Source organism: Homo sapiens, chromosome 6 (genome assembly GCF_000001405.40).
Source record: "Homo sapiens chromosome 6, GRCh38.p14 Primary Assembly".
NCBI classification, from domain to species: domain Eukaryota; kingdom Metazoa; phylum Chordata; class Mammalia; order Primates; family Hominidae; genus Homo; species Homo sapiens.
Genome location: NC_000006.12, coordinates 125,768,935 through 125,783,351, shown reverse-complemented (window position 1 = coordinate 125,783,351; position 14,417 = coordinate 125,768,935). Strand labels below are relative to the sequence as shown.

At 39.7% G+C, this 14,417-nt stretch overlaps 1 protein-coding gene and 1 non-coding gene across 9 annotated transcripts in view, besides 5 other annotated features; one reads left to right on the top strand and one right to left on the bottom strand.

Annotated features, from left to right (window-relative positions):
- The window catches only part of NCOA7 (nuclear receptor coactivator 7), a 150,920-nt gene extending 148,683 nt beyond the window's left edge, over positions 1-2,237 (bottom strand). For all 8 annotated transcript variants that reach the window (XM_047418206.1, XM_047418207.1, NM_001199620.2 and 5 more), the window contains exon 1: positions 1,981-2,237. The gene's annotated coding sequence lies outside the window, so the exon portion shown is untranslated. The remainder of the gene's footprint in view (positions 1-1,980) is intronic.
- Positions 1,861-2,409: an enhancer, noted in NCBI's record as "H3K27ac hESC enhancer chr6:126102089-126102637 (GRCh37/hg19 assembly coordinates)". NCBI's record gives its function as "activates a minimal SCP1, AML or CMV promoter by ChIP-STARR-seq in primed H9 embryonic stem cells {active_cell/tissue: H9 hESC(primed)}" and the evidence as "EXISTENCE:reporter gene assay evidence [ECO:0000049][PMID:30033119]".
- Positions 1,974-2,033: an enhancer, noted in NCBI's record as "active region_25030". NCBI's record gives its function as "activates an Ori minimal core promoter by ATAC-STARR-seq in GM12878 lymphoblastoid cells {active_cell/tissue: GM12878}" and the evidence as "EXISTENCE:reporter gene assay evidence [ECO:0000049][PMID:35858748]".
- Positions 2,410-2,959: an enhancer, noted in NCBI's record as "H3K27ac hESC enhancer chr6:126101539-126102088 (GRCh37/hg19 assembly coordinates)". NCBI's record gives its function as "activates a minimal SCP1, AML or CMV promoter by ChIP-STARR-seq in primed H9 embryonic stem cells {active_cell/tissue: H9 hESC(primed)}" and the evidence as "EXISTENCE:reporter gene assay evidence [ECO:0000049][PMID:30033119]".
- Positions 2,914-3,183: a silencer, noted in NCBI's record as "silent region_17520". NCBI's record gives its function as "represses an Ori minimal core promoter by ATAC-STARR-seq in GM12878 lymphoblastoid cells {active_cell/tissue: GM12878}" and the evidence as "EXISTENCE:reporter gene assay evidence [ECO:0000049][PMID:35858748]".
- Positions 3,034-3,105, top strand: TRE-CTC1-7 (tRNA-Glu (anticodon CTC) 1-7). Its single transcript has one exon. It is a non-coding gene; the product is annotated as a tRNA-Glu (tRNA).
- Positions 11,621-12,543: an enhancer, noted in NCBI's record as "NANOG-H3K27ac-H3K4me1 hESC enhancer chr6:126091955-126092877 (GRCh37/hg19 assembly coordinates)". NCBI's record gives its function as "activates a minimal SCP1, AML or CMV promoter by ChIP-STARR-seq in naive H9 embryonic stem cells {active_cell/tissue: H9 hESC(naive)}" and the evidence as "EXISTENCE:reporter gene assay evidence [ECO:0000049][PMID:30033119]".

Sequence of the window (14,417 nt, the reverse complement as noted above, 5' to 3'; positions counted from 1 at the left end):
GAACAGAATGGTCTACAGTCTCAAAGAATCACTTCCACCATTGATATTTGCTTTTTCCAACATTTGCCAATTAATTACAGTTATAAAAGGTAGCTTTATGATGGAGAAATATAGCATACACCTTAATCAAATGACGGTACGTAGCCACTAAATTAGGGACTTAAAGCCATACAAATTTATTATCTTACAGTTCTGTAGTTCAGAAGTACAACGTAAGTCTCAGTGGGCTAAAGTCAAGATGTTGGCAGAGCTGCTTTTTGTCTGGAAGCCTATGGGAGAAGAGGAACCGCCTGCATTCCTTGGCTTGTGGTTCCCCTTCCTCCCTTTTCAAAGGCAGCAATGGCCAGATGAGTCTTTTGCACATCACATCACTCTGACCTGACTCCTCTGCCCCCCGCCTCTTTCACTCATAAGAACGCTTGTGATGACTGGGGCCCATCCAGGTAATCTAGGATAATCTCCATCTCAAAATCTTAATCACATTTGCAAAGTTCCTTTTGCCATGTAAGGTGACATGTCAACATGTTCTGGGGATTAGGACAGTGACATCTCTGGTGTTGTAGGGTGAAGTGGACATTTCTGCCTACCACACTTACCCATTACAGGTAATGTGATACACTGGAATTATGTGCATTCTGATATAATGCACATATCACTTAGGATAGTTGTCCTGCCAGAAGAAATATTTAAATTGACGAACTTTCTGAAACTATTGTCCTCCACTATTCAAAAAGGTCAATGATGTAAAAGAAAAAAGGCTGGGGAAACTGTTCCAGAGTAAAGGAAGGAGACTACAGATACGTGACAACTAAATGCAAGGTATAATCCAAGAGTGTAGCCTAGATTAAAAGAAAAACTATAAATGAGATTATTAGGACAACTAGAAAATTTGATTATTGACCATATAATAAATGACAATGTGGAATTAAATTTCTTGAGTTGATAATTATATTGATTGCTCTTAGTAGATGCATAATACGGTGTTTAGTATGTATGATAAAGCATCATGCTGTCTGCAGCTAACCCCAAATGGTTCCAAAAAAAATAGAGAAAGCATATATGGAAAATATTAATAATTGATGAATCTAGAACAGTACTGTAAGATAGAAATATAATGTAAGGACATGTATAATTTTAAATATCCTAGTAGCTACATTAAAAAAGTAAAAAGAAAGCAAAATTAAGTTTAATATTTTATTTAACCCAATATATCCAATTATTCTCATTTAAAAATGTAATTAAAGTAAAAAGTATTAACACGATATTTTACATTTCTTTTTTTTAAATACTAAGGCTTAAACATACAGTGTGGATCCTGCATTTACAGAACATCTATTCATACTGGCTACATTTTAGTGCCTAATAGCCACAAATTGCTGGAGCTCTAAATTGGAAGGCAAAGGTATGGATGAAGGGTATATGTGTGTTCAATGTTCTATAGTTGCAACTTTCTGTTGCTTTGACATGTTTCGAAACCAAAAAGTTGGAGGAAAATGAACCAGATATGTGTTGTATGTGCATAGATTATTTCTGGGAGATACAGAAGAAGCTGGTAACACTGGTTACTTCTGGGAAGAAGAAAGGAGTGAGTAGGAGGATGGTTTTCACCATACCCTTTTGTACTTTGTGTAAAATATTGTGACTAAACCTATACAAATTTAAACTAATATCTGCTTAATCTTTTTATTCAAAACCAGATGGTCTAATGCTGAGGTCTAGCAACCCCTTAAGTAAGAGTTAAGAGCTCCACCTACTGAACTTGATCTAAGATTCCTTGGGATAGGAAAAAAGGGTCCCACTTAAAATACAATAAAGTGTAGAAATTTCTTCTGATGATTTTTCTATCTTATTATCTTAATAACCCCTTTAAATCTTCCTGTTCTCATATTATTACATATTTTCAGATAAAGTATATCAATGATTTAAACTCCATCTCTGAGCTGCTGAAAAAAAAGAAACGAGATTCAAGCACAGGCTCACCTAATTTTGTGGTAATGGATGATGACTGCAAGTCACAGTGGCGGCGGATGTTGTGAGCAAGTTCATTACAAATTTATGTCTTACTTAAGCTTCCTTCCATCTTGCAGCGGAGCGAAGTCTCTTGGGTCAGATTTCTTCAACTATAACGGCTGACATTTTCAAAGTTGAGTTATATCTTACTGCCCTCTGCATCTACTTTATGAGGGTTTCTGAATTAAGGCTGGGCTGTAAGGTGTCTTGACTCCTTTGGTAATTGCATCATTTCCTGGCCGTGTCTAGTATATAACGCGGAGAAGTGAAGCAATTGCCCAGATAATAACACAGTTTGGAAAGTAGGAGGATAACAAACACAGTGGGTTTGAAGGACTTGCTTGGAGCCTTGGGCAGATGTCCTGATCCTTCACTAGGCATACCACCCACAGCTCTCTCAGCCTCGTTAGCCTGCGTGTGCCAAATAAATAAAATAGAACCGCGTGCTATGAGGCTACGTGACCCTTCATCACCCATATTTGTTGAGCACGCGCTCTGCACCCAGGACAGCGCGTCGCTCCGGCTCTTCGCCGAGAAACGCTCTCAGCTGGTGGCAATCTATCGTTAGATTTAGTAAAATGTTTAGAGGGACTTAACATCCGCGTGACAGAGAACGAAGAAAGACGGAGAGGGACAGAACTTAGATTTGGAAAGAGCAGCTAAAATGGTTAATAAAATAATAAAGCAAATTACAAGGCTCTGGACAGTACGCGTCCAGACAACACTTGTCTTGGTAAAGAGATTTACATGTTACGTAAAGAATGAGAATTTCCAGGATATATTTTCCAGCATGGCAATAGGAAGAGGATTAGATTTGGAGGGTATAGGTTTTTTCCTTAAGGGGCCATCCCGGCGCTTCCGAGAATTTGCTTCAATTTCAGGAAATAGATTCAGGGACCAGGACTCAGAACAAGAACAAAGTGGGTGTGGCTTAGACGCAATACTCTATCCCCTACTGGTTAGAGGAATTAAGTGCAGATTTTTAACACAACAAATATATTTAGGAAGAAGCGTTGTGCAAGTTCCCTGGTGGTCTAGTGGTTAGGATTCGGCGCTCTCACCGCCGCGGCCCGGGTTCGATTCCCGGTCAGGGAAGTCTTGTTTTTCTTGACATTCGTATCCTTCATGCAATTTAGAAGTCAAGAGTTTTGTGTAGTTTTCACTTGCTGGTTGGGTTTTTTTTTCATAGTTTTTTTTTTTCTTTATAGTTTTTTTTTTCTTTTTAAATCATAAGTTTTATGTACTTTTCATTCGCTTGTTGGGGTTTTTTAATCATTAAAAATTGACCGTTTTAAAAGTTTATTTAATCTAAGGCTTAAAATACGCCATCTCTATTTACAGGTAATGTAATTTATAATCAATCAAATAACATAAAGTTCTGTGATTCTAAAATTGTATTTTTCAGTTTTTAAAAATAATTTGGATGTGTTTACAAGCAGTCAGTTAAGCCTTTGTTTAACCTTGATTTTGTTTGACTAATAAAAGAGGAAGATAGTTTTATGAGGAATAATACTTATTCAGTATCATGCTTAGAGTTAATTTTTAGTTTTTCTGTACATTAAGATTATGTACTTTGGAGATTATTTGCCTATATTGGAGCTATTCCTACTCTCATCTCTATAAATATGAGATCTTTTCTGAGATGTATGGTTGGACATAGCTAGTTTATTGTGTTTTAATAACCCATTTAGTTAATGTTTTTTTGGCTAACTTTAAATTTTCTCTAAGAGATTTACACAAATATGGTAAATGTGTTACATCCAGAGTATCAATTCCCACTATATAAACCATATAGGCCCCTCAAAAATGCACCTACTTATCATTAGTAATTCCCACATTCAGGGTAAAGTAGAATTCTGGGAGTTCCTCAAAGGAAAATATGGCAATGTTGGAGTCAAAAAAAGAAAAATAGTGTTATATAGACATTAAGGGTTTTTTTGATCCTGAAAGTTCTAAACCATCCTAACCTTTGCCACTTACTGAGCTGTTGGATTTTTTTTTTTTTTTTTTTAATTTGAGACGGAGTCTCTCTCTGTCGCCCAGGCTGGAGTGCAGTGGCGCGATCTTGGCTCACTGCAAGCTCCGCCTCCCGGGTTCATGCCATTCTCATGCCTCAGCCTCCCGAGTAGCTGGGACTACAGGCGCCCGCCACCAGGCCCGGCTATTTTTTTTTTGTATTTTTTGTAGAGACGGGGCTTCACCGTGTTAGCCAGGATGATCTCGATCTCCTGACCTCGTGATCCTCCTGTCTTGGCCTCCCAAAGTGCTGGGATTACAGGCGTGAGCCACCGCGCCCGGCCCCGCCTTTTTTTTTTAAGGAGAAATTTCATCATAGCATAGAAACAGACTGAAAGCTTGATTGCAACTAAAATGAGTTTGTTTTGCTCTCCTTTTAGCTGTGCTGAGACTGATTGGGAAGAGGAGAATGCTGAGTACTTAATGTTCCAGGAAGTCCATTGTGATAGGTGCCATGGGGTTAAGAAAAGATGTGATTTTTGGTGCTTAAGAAGCTTTCACTTCATTGGATAATTAAGACAAAAATATGTTGCCACCATTAACAAAAATAATTGGCACCATTCATTGATTATTTGCTGCATATCAAGTACTTCAAATAATCACGATATATGGTAAAAGAAGGGAGAAGGAAGTGAGCACTAGAATCAAAATAGAGCTTGAAAACTGTTTTTCAAGCTGGACCTAAAGGCTAGAAGTATCCGGAATGCCTGAGAAAAGGAGAATGGACATTGCTTCTAAGGGATCCAGGATGACCATGGTCTAGTATTTGCAACGAAAAGGACTAACTGTGTCAGACTGGCTGTAGTAGGGAACCTGCGCTGGGGAACAGTGGAGATGAGGGCAGATAGGTGACTGCAGCTAGATTATGGAAGACCTTAAGACAAGTCAAGAAATTACGAAGGGAACCCAAGAGGACTCGATGTCTGATAGGATATAAAGGGTTAAGAATAGGGAGGAATCAGTTATGAATCCTTGATTTGTTCTGTGTGGCTAGTAAAACTGGGGTGGCATTAAAAGTAATAGGAAGGTTGAGATGGAGAAACTGATGAAGAAGAGAAGGTAAGTTCAGTTTGAGCCCCACAGAGGCAGCACAACTAAATGTGGTTGGAAATACAGAATGGGAATTTTGGTGATAATTAGGGTAGAAGGGAGAGATTTTGGAGCCATTAACTTAAAAGTTTGAGAAGATTTGAGCTCTTCCCAAAGAAAAAACCTATAAAAAGGAGAGAGGACCAAGGAAAAAACCCAGGAGAGTATACATTAAAGAAGAAGGGGAAGAGGTAGAAAATGGTGAAAGAGTAGTCAGAGAGGGGCCGGGCGCGGTGGCTCACGCCTGTAATCCCAGCACTTTGGGAGGCCGAAACGGGAGGATCATGAGGTCAGGAGATCGAGACCATCCTGGCTAACACGGTGAAACCCCGTCTCTACTAAAAAAAATACATAGCCCTTGTGGTGGTGGGCGCCTGTAGTCCCAGCTACTTGGGAGGCTGAGGCAGGATAATGGCGTGAACGTGGGAGGCGGAGCTTGCAGTGAGCCAAGAAGATCGCACCACTGACCTCCAGCCTGGGCGACAGAGAGACTCTGTCTCAAAAAAAAAAAAAAAAAAAAAAAAAAGGAAGAGTAGTCAGAGAGGTAGTAATAAAAGGATAAGAGAGCTTCAAGAAGGAAGTAGCGGTGAAGAAAAGAGCATACTGTAAAGAGATCAAGGAGAAAACGGAGGAGATTAAGCACAGTCAGATGGTAAGACAGTGACTGTTGGGTACAGAACAGACTGGTGGAGCCCATACCACAGTAAGGAAGTCTATCCAGGAGATCATTGCCAGAAACATGATTCAAGGTGTTGAGGGACTAATGTGAGAGACAACAACCTTATTTATGACCTACACGCTGCAGAAGGGCGAATATAGCGAAGAAAAAGAGATCTTATGAAAATAAGATCTGTTATTCCAGAGCCAGAGACTGTGAATTAACCCTGACTGTGCCAATATCAGCTGCATTATCTGGGTTAAGTGACCCAGCTCTCTGAGCCTCTGGATCCTAAGGAGTACAAGAGAGACACTAACTTGCATGCATCCGTGCATACTTCACAGAGTTATTGTCATTCATTCATCAATTTAGCAAACACTTATGTAATTCTTACTCCATGCCAGTCATCTTTGCATGCACAGGTATAGAAAAGTGAACAAGACTGTTTCTATGACAGTTGAATAGGAATCAAAGGAGAAAATCATTAAGGTTTTGATCATGGCCTATTAATTTAGAAAGGGTGCTGTTTGAGACGGGGGTGGGGGTGGGCAATAGAGGAAGCCATGTTGCATTTAGATTTGGACTGAAGAGAGGTCACCCAAGTGAAGCTGTCTTGTACATGGGTTGATATGTTTGACTAATGATGATAGATTTCAAGTAGATCCAGCTCTGCAGTGAGAACTGAAGCCTCAATAGTGGAAATGATTGCCAAGAGATTGGTGCAGAAAAAAAAAAACAAAAAAAAAAAACAAGGGGGCCAAGGTGTGGGGAAATGAAAGAGAGATCAGATTGTTGCTGTGTCTGTGTAGAAAGAAGTAGACATAGGAGACTCCATTTTGTTCGTACTAAGAAAAATTCTTCTGCCTTGGGATGCTGTTAATCTATAACCTTACCCCCAACCCCGTGCTCTCTGAAACATGTGCTGTGTCAACTCACGGTTAAATGGATTAAGGGCTGTGCAAGATGTGCTTTGTTAAACACATGCTTGAAGGCAGCATGCTCGTTAAGAGTCATCCCCACTCCCTAATCTCAAGTACCCAGGGACACAAACACTGTGGAAGGCCGCAGGGACCTCTGCCTAGGAAAGCCAGGTATTGTCCAAGGTTTCTCCCCATGTGATAGTCTGAAATATGGCCTCGTGGGAAGGGAAAGACCTGACCGTCCCCCAGCCCGACACCGGTAAAGGGTCTGTGCTGAGGAGGATTAGTATAAGAGGAAGGCATGCCTCTTTGCAGTTGAGACAAGAGGAAGGCATCTCTCTCGTGCCTGTCCCTGGGCAATGGAATGTCTCATCGTATAAAACCCGATTGTATGTTCCATCTACTGAGATAGGGGAAAACCGCCTTAGGGCTGGAGGTGGGACATGCGGGCAACAATACTGCTCTGTAAGGCATTGAGATGTTTATGTGTATGCATATCTAAAGCACAGCACTTAATTCTTTACCTTGTCTATGATGCAGAGAGCTTTGTTCACGTGTTTATCTGCTGACCTTCTCTCCACTATTATCCCATGACCCTGCCACATCCCCCTCTCTGAGAAACACCCAAGAATGATCAATAAATACTAAGGGAACTCAGAGGCTGGCGGGATCCTCCGTATGCTGAACGCTGGTCCCCTGGGCCCCCTTATTTCTTTCTCTATACTTTGTCTCTGTGTCTTTTTCTTTTCCAAGTCTCTCATTCCACCTAACGAGAAACACCCACAGGTGTGGAGGGGCAACCCACCCCTTCACCAAGGTTTGCAGGCTTGACTTTGGCTGGAGGAGGACATAGGAGGAAAGTCTGAAGGATGAGAGTCAGGAAAACTCAGGTCAATAAAGACAAAAGCAAATACAGTCTGGAGATTGCTGTGTAGTCATTAATAGAATCCAGCATATGTCATTTATTTGGTTAATTTTTAATGGAGTTTTTTTTTAAGGTTTTAGTTAATATCTTCCTTGTTGTGTTTTACTTATTCTATTGTTATTTTTAGTCAACAATTGATATTGTTATTTAGACACAGCAATAGATTACATCACCTACACACAGCTCAAAGTTGCTGCTTTGTAGAGCCAGAAAATTGTGCTCTTCTTATTCTGTGCTTGTGAAGAAGGGGAAAATGCTGAAGGATTATTTGCAGAAATATTCCACATGTGAACAGGTGCTTCAAAGGTAAAGGAACATGAATTATTTAACCTGCACAAAAGAAAGCAAAGGTTATTTGCTGTATATCAAAAATATTTTTCCTGGACTTGTCCAATTATTTTGTTTTAAATACAAAATTGTCATTCATCTAGAGTTGGACTACTACAGTGAACGGTGATTTGGGCTGAGGCATACTGAGAATTGTAAGGATGCCTGAGAGTAACCAGGAGTGAGGAAGGAGGAAAGGAAGGACTTTTACCCGCATCTAGTACAGTGTTTTACATATGATTAGTATTGAATGAACAAAAGAAATTATCAATTAAACCAAGAAGTAGACTTCTAGGACTTCACTTGAAAACAATTATATGCAGGCTGAGCCCATCATAATGCTATTCTTATATGAATGACAGCGCTACATTTCTGCTGAGAGAAGAGCAAGTGGAAATAGAGTTAAACTGAGTTATTGTGAATAATGTCTGCCTTTTATGGAGTTATTTTAGATACTGAACACTGAATTGGGTCCTTTGTCTACACCAATCAAGTAAATCTTTATAATAATTATTCTTGCATTGTGTGGCTTAGAAAACATAGATTCAGAAAGTTTATGTAAACCTATCTAAAGTCACACAAGTATGTGGAAGAATCAGAATTCCAAACAGGATATGCCCAGCCTGAATCTTGTATTCTTTAATACTCCCCCAATTATAACAAATTGTCTGATAGCACTATGGAGAGTCTCCTTTAGAGAGATTATTACAAATAGGGTGGTTTGTGGGGAGTTTTTGCATAGAAGCAAAGAAGAATCACTGGAAGTTATTTTTAAAATGTATAATTGAATTCTATGCATTACCAAGTTTGGTGAAAGTTAATCTAGTAGCTGCTTATTAGGAGATATTAGATTCCATAGAAAGAACTGGGAAATTTTCATTAGTAAGTTTAATGACAAATACAAGGTACTTGCCCTTATGAATAGGCATGTTTGTATGTGACAGTGGTTTATTCTTTAGCACAATTTTTACCCATTTAAAAATAATCTTTGCCACATCTTCATGTTGATTATTATTTTATTGACTTAAAAATGGTTCTTTACTTTTTTATCTTCTTACTTTAACGAGTAGACTATAGAAAAACATTTTTCCATTAGTTAAAAAGAAACACATTTAAATTTAAACTATGGATCTACTTGATCAATTACCTCTTCTTCTGCTTATTATAGCCTCTGAATTTCTGTGGTATATATAGGACTTTATATAATTTGTTATTGTTTTGTGTAAGTTGTGCTTTTGTAAATTCCCTGAGACCAGAGTTCATAACTTTCTATTACTTTGTGTTAAAGTGGTAATTGTATAATTGGTGCTCAAAAATTTTTCCTGTTTTTTAGTCTTCATTTGATCGCTGAAGGCAACGAAATGATAGATAAGCCAAGAGCTCCACAGCAGAGGGCAGGGTCTATGTTGTATTCATTTTTGTATCCTCCAGGCTATGATAGTACTTGGCATATAGTAGCAATTCAAATGACTCTTGTGTGAAGAAATGAAAGAATGAGGCAAAAGACTGAAACTGGAACTTTTCAGAAGAAACAAGGGTGACCAATAAATCTTTGAAAACAGAATCAACCTCTTTTCATGATCAGGGAAATGCAAACTAAAACAAAAGAGATACTGTTTACACTCATCAAAGAGGCAAAATGGAAAAATCTGGCAATATCAACTGTTGCCAAGAATATAGAACAATGAAAAGTCTCATACACTAATGGTGGGAGTATAAATTGGCATAATAAAATAAACTGGAAAACATTTGATATTATCTAAATTTGGAGATTCCCACACCCAGCAATTCAACCTCTGGGAAATCCCCGCATGTGTGCGCCAGATGTGTACAAGAATGTTCACAGCAGCACCATTCATAATACACCCAAATTGGAAGCAAGCTGACTGTCTATCAAGAGTAGAGTGGGTAAATATGTTGTGGTATAGTCATACAATGAAATACTACAGAGTAGTAAAAAAAAAAAAAATGGATTGCATCTCCACTTATCAACATGATGAATTCCAGGAAAATAATGTTTAACTTAATAAGCAAGTCAAATAGAGTATAATCCCATATTATATGAAGTTTTAAAATGCTAAATTAAAAATATTGTTCATTGATAGACATATAGATGGTAAACCATAAATAAAAATAAAATAGTGGGGAATGGGGAATGGAGAAGATGGAGAAAAGAAAAAGTACACAAAGGGCTTTCAAAGTACTAGTGGTGCTAAGTGCTAAGCTGGGTGGTGGGTACAAAGGTATTGATTCTCATTTGATTATTTATACCTTTACCTATTATATAACACAGCATTATATAAATGTTATGCTATTCCATATATAATATATTATATATGCATATATAATATGAGTTATATATGCTATATTTATATATGCTATATGTTATACATATGCTATATATTATATATGCTATATGTTATACATATGCTATATATTATATATGCTATATATTATGCTATTCTATATATTCTATATAATATATAATTATATATTATATAATATGATATAGAATATATTCTATTATATATATATAATATAGAATATATATATAATATAGAATATATTCTAATAGAATATATTCTATATTACATATAATAGAATATATTCTATATATATAGAATATATTCTATATTACATATAATAGAATATATTCTATATATATAGAATATATTCTATATTACATATAATAGAATATATTCTATATTATATATATAGAATATATTCTATATTACATATAATAGAATATATTCTATATTACATATAATAGAATATATTCTATATTATATATATAGAATATATTCTATATTACATATAATAGAATATATTCTATATTACATATAATAGAATATATTCTATATTATATATAGAATAATATATAGAATAGCATAACATATATAATAGAATAATATATAGGATATGTTCTATATCATATATAGAATAATATAGAATAGCATAACATATATTATATATAGAATAATATATAGAATAGCATAGCATATATATAGCATTATATATGTAGACAGAAATGTAGAGCTGTCATTCATATAAGAATAGCATCGCCTGGCGCAGTGGCTCACGCCTGTAATCCCAGCACTTTGGGAGGCCGAGGCGGGCAGATCACGAGGTCAGGAGATTGAGACCATCCTGGCTAACACGGTGAAACCCCGTCTCTACTAAAAATACAAAAAAACTAGCCGGGCGAGGTGGCGGGTACCTGTAGTCCCAGCTGCTCGGGAGGCTGAGGCTGGAGAATGGGGTGAACCCGGTGGGTGAAGCCTGCAGTGAGCAGAGATCGCGCCACTGCACTCCAGGCTGGGCGACAGCAAGAACTCCGTCTCAAAAAAAAAAAAAAAAAAAAGAATAGCAGTATGATGGGCTCAGCCTGCATATAATTCTTTTCAAGTGAAGTCCTAGAAGTCTACTTCTTGGTTTAATTGATAAATACATATTATATATTTATATATTATATATATAATAGCATAACATATATAATGCTATGTTATATATTATATATAATGTTATAATACGCTATTCTATATATTATATATTATATAGAGAGAATAGCATATATATAATGCTGTTCTATATTAATTCAATATTGAATTAAAATGAAAAATAAAAATAAATGATAGGTAATGTTTGGGCCAACTCTTTGGGATTACGGCATGGAAGCGATAGTTAAGCAAAATTCCACTCCCCTCTATTGCCATAGTTTATAATGGTGCTTTTCCTTTTTTTTTTTTTTTTTTGTTGTTGTTTTTTATTGATCATTCTTGGGTGTTTCTCGCAGAAGGGGATTTGGCAGGGTCATAGGACAATAGTGGAGGGAAGGTCAGCAGATAAACATGTGAACAAAGGTCTCTGGTTTTCCTAGGCAGAGGACCCTGCGGCCTTCCGCGGTGTTTGTGTCCCTGGGTACTTGAGATTAGGGAGTGGTGATGACTCTTAACGAGCATGCTGCCTTCAAGCATCTGTTTAACAAAGCACATCTTGCACCGCCCTTAATCCATTTAACCCTGAGTGGACACAGCACATGTTTCAGAGAGCACAGGGTTGGGGGCAAGGTCATAGATCAACAGCATCCCAAGGCAGAAGAATCTTTCTTAGTACAGAACAAAATGGAGTCTCCTATGTCTACTTCTTTCTACACAGACACAGCAACAATCTGATTTCTCTATCTTTTCCCCACATTTCCCCCCTTTCTATTCCACAAAACCGCCATCGTCATCATGGCCCGTTCTCAATGAGCCGTTGGGTACACCTCCCAGACGGGGTGGCGGCCGGGCAGAGGGGCTCCTCACTTCCCAGCAGGGGCGGCCGGGCAGAGGCGCCCCCACCTCCCGGACGGGGCGGCTGGCCGGGCGGGGGCTGCCCCCCACCTCCCTCCCGGAGGGGGCGGCTGCCGGGCGGAGACGCTCCTCACTTCCCAGACGGGGTGGCTGCCGGGCGGAGGGGCTCCTCACTTCTCAGACGGGGCGGCTGCCGGGCGGAGGGGCTCCTCACTTCTCAGATGGGGCGGCCGGGCAGAGACGCTCCTCACCTCCCAGACAGGGTCGTGGCCGGGCAGAGGCGCTCCTCACATCCCAGACGGGGCGGCGGGGCAGAGGCTCTCCCCACATCTCAGACGATGGGCGGCTGGGCAGAGACGCTCCTCACTTCCTAGACGGGATGGCGGCCGGGAAGAGGTGCTCCTCATTTCCCAGACTGGGCAGCCGGGCAGAGGGGCTCCTCACATCCCAGACTATGGGCGGCCAGGCAGACGCTCCTTACTTCCCAGACGGGGTGGCGGCCGGGCAGAGACTGCAATCTCGGCACTTTGGGAGGCCAAGGCAGGCGGCTGGGAGGTGGAGGTTGTAGCTAGCCGAGATCACGCCACTGCACTCCAGCCTGGGCAACATTGAGCACTGAGTGAACGAGACTCTGTCTGCAATCCCGGTACCTCGGGAGGCCGAGGCTGGCAGATCACTCGCGGTTAGGAGCTGGAGACCAGCCTGGCCAACACAGCAAAACCCCGTCTCCACCAAAAAAATACGAAAACCAGTCAGGCGTGGCGGCGCGCGCCTGCAATCGCAGGCACTTGGCAGGCTGAGGCGGGAGAATCAGGCAGGGAGATTGCAGTGAGCCGAGATGGCAGCAGTACAGTCCAGCTTCGGCTCGGCATTTGAGGGAGACCGTGGAAAGAGAGGGAGAGGGAGACCGTGGGGAGAGGGAGACCATGGGGAGAGGGAGAGGGAGAGGGCTGCCACATGTTCTCATAAGTGGGAGCTGAATGATGAGAACACATGGACACATGGGGTTGAACAACACACACTCGCTTTTTCTGAAGTACAAAAGTTCCAGGTTGAACTTTCTGAAGTTGTTCTGAAAGCAGGTCGAAAATGGTAAATGTGAAAATAAACCACAAGGTGGCGTCCTAGTCTCATGTGTCTCATTCTGATTCTTTAATCAAGTAATCCCACTTTTGAAATGTTGAGGATTTTTTCCCTTTAGTTTCTTTCTTCTTGTCATCAATTGTGCTTTATTTTACTTGTATATGTATATGTATTGTGCTATCAGATTAAAGACTGGGGAAAGCCATTCAAATAAATTTAATGCAACAAGTATGCTGGTTCAGCATATGACGTTCATTCATTCCTTCCTCATTCCATCAGTCATGCATTCATGTATTCATTCATTTAACCAATGTCCAAAAATATTTGTTGAGCCTCTTTTCTGTGTCAGATAGACGCAGGGCAAGAGGTCCTGGAGACTCAATGATAAGCAGAAACATAGTCACTGTCATTTGCTTTGAGTGTGGTGGTGAAGATAGACAGTAATCATACAATCACAAATTTAAATTGTGACTGACAAAGCCTATGAGGAAGAAAGGAGAAATAGGTGGTTCATATAGTTCTACAGTGAGGTTTTGAACCAGTTGGAGATGTCAGAGGAGTGATCCATTTGTTGAGATCTGAAAGATAAAGATGAGTTGCCTAGGTAAGAAGGAGAGAAAGGAACATTCACACAGAAGGAACATGTGCAAGGCCTTGTAGCAGGAGGGAGCGAGGAGAATACCAGAGGCTGAAAGAAAGCCAGGAGGGCTGGATGGCAAGGCAGAGGTATCAGAGAGAGGTGAAGAGAGGCCTGGGAAGTAGGCAGTAGATGGATCTTGCATGGCCTCGTAGTGAGGTGAAGGATTTTGTCTTCACACTAAGAACATTAAGGAGCCACAGCAAGGAAGATGAAGTAGCAGCTCAAAACCCGTGCCCAGTCACGGGTGGTTCAGTAGTTTTATGAGTACTGTATATATGAAAGATCCTGCACTGAGTATTAGTGGCCCAACTCCGTTCACCTTTGTGTGATTTGCTTTTTGATAGTGAGGGACATCACTTGAAAACAGTAATGCAATTTTAATCTCATCTATGCTCACTATATTTTTTTCTTTTGAAGAAACATGACCCCATTGTATTTATTTTGAATCAGACTAAAA